The following is an 11,221-nucleotide window of genomic DNA, read 5'->3' as shown; positions in this document are numbered from 1 at the left end:
CCTTTTTTCATCATGGCACCCCTAAGGAGCTTTTGTAGACATATTTTACCAGTCATAGCCTTCCCTCTCCTAATGAAATTTTAATAGCACAGATATACGCTATATTTCTTTAGGTTCTGCAGCCCTTTGGAGAGCCACAAACCATTATAATAGCTAAGATTTTTCCATCATCCAAGAAGCAATTTTTGCTCCACTGGTGACAATGGCCCCCCACCACCTTGAAAAATGTATGCTCTAGTGAGATCCATATGAGATCCACACATAACAATTGGTTGATGTGCTCTCTTAGACCTCTTTTCAGGTTTCCCCTCTATCTCTCTCAAGTTTTAAAAGCAATACAAAAAAATGTGCACATCTGTCTTTTGGAATATCCCCTGAATTTTAGCTGAATGTTGCTGACTGCATCCCCCTGGTGTTGGTTACCACGTTCCTCTGTCCTCTGCATTTTCTGTACATTGCTAGCTGGATCCAGATGCATTAATCAATATGGGGATTGATTTTTTTCTTCCTCTTTCTTTTGCAAGACTGTATCTTTTACTGATGGGAACAGACATTGATGATCTGGTCTAGCTTCCTTAATTTATTAGGGCTTTCTCTCCCTTTAAAGTAAATGGCTTCTAAGAGTTAATTCCTCAAGAGGCTGAAAACTTTTGCATTTCTTAAGGGTTTATTCATTGCACTCCCTGCAAAGAATGTTTTAAAGCTCCTTCATCTAAAACACAATGGCTATAATTAAAAGTTTAGCTCTGGTGGCTCTTGGAGGGCAGCAAAGTCATACATGTGAAATTCACGTATTTCACAGCTCACTACAAACATAAGGAGAAAGGATGACCCAACTCGAAAAGTTCTTTCTGCCTTCTTTCCCTCCTTTGTTCCAATAATGAGTATTTACTAAGATCCTATTGTGAGTGCTGGATTCTCTCTTAGTATATGGGACCCCGGGACTGAGCCAGCCAGAGTGGGGAGCTGGTGTTCCCAGAATAAACCTGTTCCTGACATGCAAGACATATCTCCAAGGTATTTTTAGGTGTTGGTGAGGGTGCGGGGGGATAGCTCCTTTAAAAGCCAAATCCTCACTTGGAAGAGAAATAGGTTCACCAGAGGCTGCAGATCTGGTTAGAGTGTAATCTTTAACACAAAGCCAGATTGCACAGGGCAGGGTTTAGCCAAAGACTTGCTTCCAATGCTAATGAAGCAGAATTCCATCTTGAAGGGTGGAGGGAGGAAGTGTGGGGATCCAAGAGGGGCTAAGAATGAGATCTGTCTTTCTCCCTGGCTGGTGTCTCTGGTGCCTAGTGGATGCTTGGAACCAACTCTTTGAATAAATGAAGACCAAGTGAGATAATATATAGAAAAATGCTTTTGCAATCTAAAATGCTGTTATAGAATACTGGCTTGTTTTTATTAAGGTGAATACTTACCTTGACCTTGGAGAGTGAAGGTGGGGTAAAGAATGTAGGGAGGAAAAGGAGTTATTATGTACCAGGTACTTTAGAAACATGGGTCTTATTTCCTTTAGCCCTTATGGGAAGTAGGAATTCTTTTTTTTTTTTTTTTTCTTGAGACAGAATTCTTACTCTGTCACCCAGGCTGGAGGGCAGTAGTGTGATCTCGGCTCATTACAACCTCCACCTCCCGGGTTCAAGTGATTCTTCTGTCTCAGCCTCCTGAGTAGCTGGGATTACAGATGTGTGCCACCATGCCAGGCTAATTTCTTTATTTTTAGTAGAGACGGGGTTTCAACCATGTTGCCCAGGCTGGTCTCGAACTCTTGACCTCAAGTGATCTGCCTGTCTTGGCCTCCCAAAGTGCTGGAATTATAGGCATGAGCCACTGCACCTGGCCAAGAATTCTTATTCTATGATATGTCAGATTCTACATATTTATTTTGTCAATCAAAAGCAAATCAAAAAGCTCAAATCTAGTTGAAAGAGTTTATTCAAGAACAGTGTGGGGAAAGGTGAGGATGGTCTATATTATGTAGGCAAAAATGGAGGCGCTAAACTGTATTACAAGGTTTTCCATACAAAGGCTAACATACAGATACAAGATTTGTTTGGCGACCATTGATTACACTCTAAGGGGGTTGCTTAATATTCACTTGTAAAAAGGTAACAATCACCAGGATCTCTGATTCCAAAGTCATTTATTCTAGGTTTGAATAAAGAATAAGGGATCTGGTTAATATTTAACATTTCAACACAAAGGTCAGGAAGCAAGTGTCCAAAAACAGCCGGTGTTATGTGACTCAGTTTACAAGGCTTAACTTTTCCCCTGGCCACAATACATTTGGAAGCCCTGAGATTTGATTTGATTTTTATTTTATTTTATTGTATTTTTTTTTGAGATGGAGTATTGCTCTGTCACCGAGGCTGGAGTGCAGTGGCACGATCTCGGCTTACTGCAAGCTCTGTGTCCTAGGTTCACGCCATTCTCCTGCCTCAGCCTCTCCAAGTAGCTGGGACTACAGGCACCCGCCACCACGCCCGGCTAATTTTTTGTATTTTTAGTAGAGATGGGGTTTCACTGTGGTCTCGATCTCCTGACCTCGTGATCCGCCCGCCTCGGCCTCCCAAAGTGCTGGGATTGCAAGCGTGAGCCACCGTGCCCAGCCAAAAATTTTATTTTCTTTTTACAGTTTTGATTTTGCACATTCCAGAAACACACTAGACTGGGTGCTAGACAATTCTGACAGTCTCTCCATTTCTTTATTAATTCGTTCAATAAATATGCATTGCATGCTTGCTCCAAGCCACTTTACAAATGAAGACACTGGAGTCAGTGCCTTGGCAAGTCACTTCATCCCTCTGTACCTCAGCTTCTTTAAGTGTGAAATGAGAACAATACAGCTGGCTTTACTGGTCTCCTGGGAGGCTTTCCTGAGAACCTGGCGCATGGTAGGGACTGGCCAAAACAGCAGGGCAGGGCAGCCCAACCTGAGTTTTCCTTTACTGTGTAGACCTGGGGTTCTTATTTGCATGATACTCTAATTGGGGACCTCAGTTTAAAAAATTACCCATTTTGTTTTTCTTCCTTTCCTCCCCTCTTACCTCCCCTGTCTAGGCAATGCATGTTTATGTAATTATGCCCTTACTTAAGTCAAGATAGCTCCAACCCGGACAGACAAGGGAACAAGTCACACCACAGACCCCACACCCTGCACCACTCCCACATGTCTCCCATACCAAGTTTCCCTTTAAAAACCCTATGGTAGCCAGGCATGGTGGCTCACGCCTGTAATCCCAGCACTTTGAGAGGCTGAGGCAGGTGGATCACCTGAGGTCAGGAGTTTGAGACCAGCCTGACCAACATGGAGAAACCCCGTCTCTACTAAAAATACAAAATTAGCCGGGCGTGGTGGCGCATGCCTGTAATCCCAGCTACTTGGGAGGCTGAGGCAGGAGAATCGTTTGAACCCAGGAGGCGGAGGTTGAGGTGAGCCAAGATCACGCCATTGCACTCCAGCCTGGGCAAGGAGTGAAACTTCATCTCAAAAAAAAAAAAAAAACCCTATGGTAAATTTTAAAATTTAAAATAGTACTTTAGACTGGGCGCGGTGGCTCACTCCTGTAATCCCAGCACTTCAGGAGGCTGAGGCGGGTGGATCACCTGAGGTCAGGAGTTCGAGACCAGTCTGGCCAACATGGCGAAACCCTGTCTCTACTAAAAATACAAAAATTAGCCGGGCATGGTGGCGGGTGCCTATAATCCCAGCTACTCAGGAGGCTGAGGCAGGAGAATCGCTTGAACCCAAGAGATGGAGGTTGCAGTGAACCAAGATAATGCTGCTGCACTCCAGCCTGGGCAACAGAGCGAGACCCCATCTCAAAAATTAAAATAAAATAAAATAAAATAAAATAAAATAAAATAAAATAAAATAGTACTTTAGAACGCTAGTTCACCATCTTCTTGGTTTGCTGGCCCTCTGATTAAAACTGCTTTCCGCCCCACAAATCCTCGCTTTTCCTGTTCTGGTCCCATTACAATACCATTTCCTTGGGGGCATTTTGGAAACGAGGGGCAGTGTTTTTCGTTGTTGTTGTTGTTATTTTGAGACCGAGTCTTTCTCTGTCACCCAGGCTGGAGTGCAGCTGCCCGATCTCAGCTCACTGCAATCGCCACCTCCCGAGTTCAAGCAATTCTCCTGCCTCAGCCTCCTGAGTAGCTGGGGTTACAGGCACACGCCACCACGCCCGGCTAATTGGGGCAGCGTTTTCGTTGCCAAGAGGATTGTGAATGCTTTCAGCATTTGGGGGAGAGGGACAAGGATGCTTGGGTTCCGCCATGGGCACAACAGTACTGCACAATGAGGCATGAGGAAGAATTGTCCAAATCCTCCCAGACATTATAATGTCCCACCAGGCTAAACAGTACAAACATAGATCAATAATACTCCAATATTTAATAGGCAAAAGCTTTCACAAAATGATATGTAAAATCTCAGTAACTCAGGAGAAGTTTCTTACAGAAGGAGAGGCTTGAATGGAAGGAAAATACTGTCTTGAGATGATTGAACAATTTCTCTTTTGTGTGCGTCTAATTCATCGTAGACCATAGTGTTTCCTATCTCGTGTTTAGTTGAAAAGGGTTTCCAGCTAACAGTATAGTTACTACAAAAACAGTCATTGAATATTGGTAGCAAAGGAGATTTGATATTTCTTTTTTCTTTTTTTTTTTATTTGAGACAGAGTTCCGTTCTTGTTGCCTAGGCTGGAGTGCAATGGCACAGTCTTGGCTCACTGCAACCTCCGCCTCCTGGGTTCAAGTGATTCTCCTGCCTCAGCCTCCTGAGTAGCTGGGATTACAGGTATGCGCCACCATGCCTGCCTAATTTTTGTATTTTTAGTAGAGATGGGTTCTACCATGTTGGCCAAGCTAGTCTCGAACTCCCAACCTCAGGAGATCCGCCCACCTCAGCCTCCCAAAGTGCTGGGTTTACAGGCATAAGCCACCATGTCCAGCCTGATATTTCTTACAACAGACTTAGAGCTGAATTGTTCTAAGTTAGTGGAAATACATGAAATGCAGAAATCTCATTAAGGTTCATGGAATAAAGATTTCAAAAATATTTAAAATGATTGCTATTCAATACAATTTTAATTTTCTTATAGCATAGTGATAAGAAATCTATGTTCTAGAAATTGCACATTAAAATGATTTATTTTGGGATTGCCTGAAATTTTTCCTTTTCCTTTTTATTTTTTTATTTTTTAATTTATTTTTGAGACAGAGTTTCACTCTTGTAGTACAGGCTGGAGTGCAATGGCACAATCTCGGCTCACTGCAACCTCCACCTCCTGGATTCAAGTGATTCTCCCGCCTCAGCCTCCTGAGTAGCTGGGATTACAGGCTCCTGCCGCCACGCCTAGCTAATTTTTGTATTTTTAGTAGAGACGGGGGTTTCACCAAGTTGGCCAGGCTGGTCTGGAACTCCTGACCTCAGGTGATCTGCCCACCTCAGCCTCCCAAAGTGCTGGGATTACAGGCATGAGCCACCGTGGCCGGTTTATCTTTTTAATCTGATAAGGTTTTCAGTTGACCACAAAGGTTTTCTTACGTCTTTAGTGTTATTCCTTTTCCTTTTCCAAACCATACCTTACAAAACTTTAGACAAATTAAATGTAGCAGCGTTTAATTGAGCAAAGAACAAGTGGTGAATCGGGCAGCCCCCTAGCCAGAATAGTTCAGAGGTACTCCAGCACTGCTGCGTGGTAGGAAAAAATTTATAGACAGAAAAAGGAAAATGACATACGGAAAACAGAAGTGAGGTACAGAAACAGCCGGATTGATGAGAGCTGGGCGTTTGCCTTATTTGAACACGGTTTGAACAGTTGGCTGCCTATGAGTGGTTAAGTCTGGCTTCTGGGATTGGCTGAGACTTGGCTACTTCTTACAAGAGTAGGTTATGTCTGTTCACACATCCAGTTAGGCTACAGTTCACTACTTATAGAGAAACCTTTAGGCAGAGCTTAAAATATGTAAGGAGGCAGCTTCGGGCTAAACTTAAAATTTAACACTCCTCTCTAAGGATACAGATTCCCAGGTCTTGAGACTGAGTGAATGCCTCGGCGTATACTAAAATTTCAAGACAGAAGTTATGTTTGCTGGGATACTTCGTCACTACCCTGTCCTTTGTCACAACACGGGGAATTATTTTGACACTACGCTTATAAATAAGGCCCACCTACTTTGCGAGAATGTCACGCGTCCTGATTTTCTCCGTTAGTCTTGGCATGTTCACCAAACTCCAATGAAGGTTATCACCCTTTCCTTATCACATGTCAGTCAGCCTAGTCTATTTATACCCACCCTAACACTGGCTTTTAATCTGAGGTCTACCCTGCCTCTGCCCCTTCATGTCTCTGTACTTCTTACACCTTCTATAAGGCATTTCAGCACCTTGTCCTCTTACATCCAAATGTATACACTATAAATAGGAACCAGCATCTGACTACTTCACTGTGTCTTCTATATAGTGATGCTTGAGCACTTACGCATTGAAATATGCATTATTGCATTACGGATTTTTAAGTATTTTCTTTTGTACGTGTATGTATATTTTTGTGTGTGTTATTATATATATCTCCACATCATGGGTGTAGGTAGGTTATGTTATCTAAAATTTCAGGATAGTAAAGGGAACACTTTTTTGTTTTTTGAGATGGAGTTTTGCTCTGTCACCCAGGTGGAGTGCAGTGGCGTGATCTCAGCTCACTGCAACCTCCGCCTCGTGGGTTCAAGAGATTCTCCTGCCTCAGCTTCCTGCGTAGCTGGGATTACAGGCGCCTGCCACCAGCTATGTTTTGTATTTTTAGCAGAGACGTGGTTTCACCATGTTGGCCAGGCTGGTCTCGAACTCCTGACCTCAGGTGATCTGCCCGCCTCGGCCTCCCAAAGTGCTGGGATTACAGGTACGAGCCACTGTGCCCGGCCAAAGGGAATATTTTTTAAAAACTTAAATTTAACTTCCCCCTCAGAAATATATTTTTTTAACAGCACAGATTGGATACACTAGAAATGCATTTTTTCTGATTTGCTTTCAAATATTGATTACAAAAATATTGATCACAAAATAATGATTACAAAAAAAAATGATGATATATATTGCTTGCATTGTGTGTAAGGAGCTGAGAGCCATGTATCCAGAGGATCCTGATGACATTGGGGCTCTGTGACTGAAGTGTTGTCCTGCAGCCACAGCATCCGTCCTAAAGACCTGTCTCTTCACTGGCCCCTCTGCCTTGGTCTCTCCTGCTCCCCTGCAGCACTCCAGGGTGACAGGCTCACCGCGTTCCTCCCTGCTTACCAGCAGTCATTGAGGGCATTCAGTGCAGACAGCATGAGCACTTCATGTTTGCACAAGGCAGGCCCAGCCACTGCTTCCGCCTCTGAGCTCTGGGGAGGCTCCGTGGTTGGAAGGATCCAGACAGCTCCTATGTCACGCCCCTGCCTCATCACTCTGGTGCATTTTGGGGTCTTGTAATGGCTGAGGCAGGAAGGATGCCCTGCTCGGTGCTTCCCAAATGTCAGTGTGTGGAGTCCCATCATGTAGTATTTGCCATGTCCTGCCAATGCCATGAGAAGGCTGTTCAGAGCACAGATTCTAGATGGAAGTTGCCTGGGTTCAAATCCTCCCTCTGCTGCCTCCTGCATGGCCATGGGAAAATGACTCAATCATGTTGTACCTCTGCTTCTGCATCTGGGAAATGGGTGTAATAATGGCACCTACCTTATTGGGTTGCTATCCGGCTTTAATGAATTAATCTGTGAAGAATGCCCAGTCTATGGTAAGCATTATGCAATTGCTGGGTACACATTGTTTCATATTTTCTTGAGATCAGCTCACTTTTTAAAAATTTAAGTTTAGCTTTGCTCTAAGAAATAATTCCCCATAACAGCACAGATTGGATCTGCTATTTGTATATTTTTCCCATTTACTTTCCAGTAAGCACGTGACTATTAAAATGAAGACTGGCAGCCTACACATCACATGCCGACAGGGTAGATAAGTCCTGTCCCTTCCATCCCAGAAAGAAAGGCTCATGTGGGAATCCCCAGCGTCCCAGGCCCCGGGGGAGCAGGCACTGCTGAGTACTTCACCGATTTGACAATTGAGGAACCTGAGTCCCAGGTCTTGTCCAAGACACTGAGAAGGTGATTCCCCCTCCACTGCCGGCAGGCCAGGGGTGAGGGATCACCTTCATATTCATCACCGTGCTCCCAGGCACTGCTGGAGCCTCTGAGGCGAGACTGTTATTCCGTTTTTGCTGAAGTCATGCATTTTGGAGCTATTTAGCTTCTTTCACACCCACCCCTAGTGGGGGTGGCTGTGGGAATCGTGCTCTGGCAGATAATTAAAATTTCAAATGAGTGAGGAGCCAGGAGGCCTGCGTCTTCTGGAGGAGATGTGCTAATGGGCTTGAAGTGAGGGCCGCAGCTGTGGGGCCAGGGAGGGGGCCTGAGAGGACCCGGCTAGGCTGCCCCTGAGTTGCTCTTCCCCCCACGACCTCCACCACCCTCTGCTCCCCTCCCTGGGCTGCGGAGGCCTCGCCCCTGCTGGAGTACCTCCCCTCCCACCCAGCCTGCACATGGCCTTCTCCAGGGGAAATGGGACTCTGGCTCTCCTGGTCACAGCCTTTTGGTGGCTTTCCACGACCTACACCAGGGGGTCTCAAAATAAGACCCCCAGACCAGCTGCAGCAGCAGCACCTGAGAACCTGTTAGAAAAGCAAATTCTTGGCCCCACCCCAGACCTACTGACCCAGAACCTCAGAGATGGTGCCCAGATATCTGTATTTCACAAGCCCCCGGGTGGTCCTGATGCTGGCTCCACACAGGATTGTTCATTTAAGTGAGCTTACTGTGTGGGGTGGCCGGCCCAGTGCCCGATGCTGAGCAGTTCGACAGTGGTGACTATTTATTGAGCAACTACTATGTGCTAAAGACTGTTGTTGGTGTTTGGGATAAATCTATGAACAAAATGAATCAAGATCCCTGCCTCGTGGAGCTTATAGTCTAGCTGGGAAATACAGAGCACATGCAAAAATAAACCCCAAAATACAGTACCTCAGTACATGACACAGTGTGTTAGGAGATGATAAGACTATGGGAAAAAGAAGAGGAAAGGGCCACGTGGGAGGATCAGGAGTGGCAAGTGGGCAGGTGTGGCTGCGTGGTTTTGTCATTAAATAGAATGAGTGGGGACAGAGACATGTGAGTGAAGACTTGAAGGAGGGGATGCATCGGCCAGCAGACATCTGGGGAAGGGCGTCCCCAGCAGGAGCAGACATAGGGCCAGAGCAAAGGCTCTCCTAGAACACCCGCCTTGCTTGCTGGCGTAGCAGCCAGGTGGCTGGCAGACCAGGCATAGTGAGCAAGGGGAGTCTGACTTGAAGGGGAGGTCAGGATGAGAACAGGGCTGGACCTTGCAGGCCTGGTAGACCTCTACTTAGAACCGAGACTTTCGTCTGAGTGGAATGAGAGTTACTGGGAGTTTTTTGAGCAGAAAAATGACATCGATCAGACTGATATTTGAAAAGGCTTGCAGTGGGTGCAGTGTTGAGAAAAGGCTTTGGTGAGGGTGGTGGTAGGTGGGGGCCTCTCAGGCTGTAGAGTCCAAGCCAGAGAAGATGGCAGCTTGAACCAAGGTGAAGAGTCGCAGGTTACATGATATGGTTCAGCAGAGGCAATGAGGTTTCCTGGCAGAGTGGATGTAGAGTGGGAAAGGAAGGGGGGAAATGACCTGAGATTCGGTCAGACAGGACAATTAAGTTCTGGAGCTATAGTGTACAATATTGCAACTAAAATTAATAATATAAAGTCTTGTGGACTTGAAAATTGCTAGGAGAGTAGCTCTTATTCTCACAACAAAAAATAATAAGTAGGTGAGGTGATGGAAATGTTAATTAGATTGATTTAACCATTTTATGATGATACAGATATCAAAACATTTTATTGTACGCCATAAATATATACAATTTTTATTTGTCAACTCCACCTTAATTTTAAACAAGAAAAAAAAAAAGAAAAAAGAAGGAAAATATGGCCGGGCATGGTGGCTCACACCTGTAATCCCAGCACTTTGGGAGGCTGAGGCAGGTGGATCACAAGGTTAGGAGTTTGAGACCAGCCTGGCCAACATGGTGAAACCCCATGTCTACTAAAAATACAGAAATTAGCCGAGCATGGTGGCACACGCCTGTAGTCCCAGCTACTCAGGAGACTGAGGCAGGAGAATCCCTTAAACCTGGGAGGTGGAGGTTGCAGTGAGCCGAGATCGCACCACTGCACTCCAGACTGGGCAACAGAGTGAGACTCCATCTTGGAAAAAAAAAAAAAAAAAAGAAGAAGGAAAATATAAGAAAGGAAATGGGAAGTCAGAGATGATATACCAAGGTCTCATCTGAGTTGGTGGAAGAAGGGGGTCGCTAGAAATGGAGACAGGGAAGGTTGTGGGTGGAACAGTGTTTCGAGGGAAGATCTGAGTTAGGTTTAGACATCTTAAGTTTGTCTATCAGATGACCAAGGAGAGATGGTAAGTAGGAAGTTAGACTTGAAGCGGGAGTTCAGAAAAGTGCTCTGAAGACGTCAACTCGAGAGTTGTCAGACAGATGACATTTAAAGCCTCAAATCTGGCTGGGAGCTCTAGGGAAGAGAGTGTTGGCAGAGAAGAAGTCACCAAGGACTGAGCCCCGAGGCACAAGAACATTTAGAGAGAAGGAAAGAAAATCCTTAGAGCAAAAGAGGCTGAGAGGAGAGATCAGAGGGCTAGGAGGGACCAGGAGAGCAGGGTATGGAGCCAGGAAGGGCAGTGTTTTTAGGAGGTAGGGGTGATGCTCAACACAGCTGAGGGCTTTGCAAGAGGAGAACTGGGCCCCCACCTGGGATCTGTTGATGTGGAGTCATTGGTGACTTTGACAAGAACAGCTTTGGTGTGGAGTTGGGGGAAAAGCCTGACTGAACTGGGTTTAAAGTGAATGGGAGAATCGGAAGCCACAAGCATGGTCAGCAGGAACATGCCTGCCAAGGGGAACAGAGAAATTGAGAGGTATCTGGAGGTGGGGTGGGGTGGGGTGGCAGAAGTGGGATCCAAATAGCAGAATCACCAGGGGTGTTTTTGCAAACTAAATGTATGGGACTATGAACCAGCAGTGATGGTGCCAAGGGGTGGCTGGAAGAGGGTGGGGAGTAGGTGGAGGGGAGTGGGTGGAGGGCATCTTAA

The 11,221-nt window shown here is 45.5% G+C and overlaps 2 annotated features.

Annotated features, from left to right (window-relative positions):
* Positions 802-1,096: a silencer, noted in NCBI's record as "tiled region #8396; K562 Repressive non-DNase unmatched - State 22:ReprW". NCBI's record gives its function as "represses a minimal TATA promoter and a strong SV40 promoter by Sharpr-MPRA in K562 cells {active_cell/tissue: K562}" and the evidence as "EXISTENCE:reporter gene assay evidence [ECO:0000049][PMID:27701403]".
* Positions 8,511-9,051: an enhancer, noted in NCBI's record as "H3K4me1 hESC enhancer chr5:175023214-175023754 (GRCh37/hg19 assembly coordinates)". NCBI's record gives its function as "activates a minimal SCP1, AML or CMV promoter by ChIP-STARR-seq in primed H9 embryonic stem cells {active_cell/tissue: H9 hESC(primed)}" and the evidence as "EXISTENCE:reporter gene assay evidence [ECO:0000049][PMID:30033119]".

Source organism: Homo sapiens, chromosome 5 (genome assembly GCF_000001405.40).
Source record: "Homo sapiens chromosome 5, GRCh38.p14 Primary Assembly".
NCBI classification, from domain to species: domain Eukaryota; kingdom Metazoa; phylum Chordata; class Mammalia; order Primates; family Hominidae; genus Homo; species Homo sapiens.
Note: the sequence above shows the minus strand (reverse complement) of the source record. Positions and strands in the feature narration are given on the sequence as shown.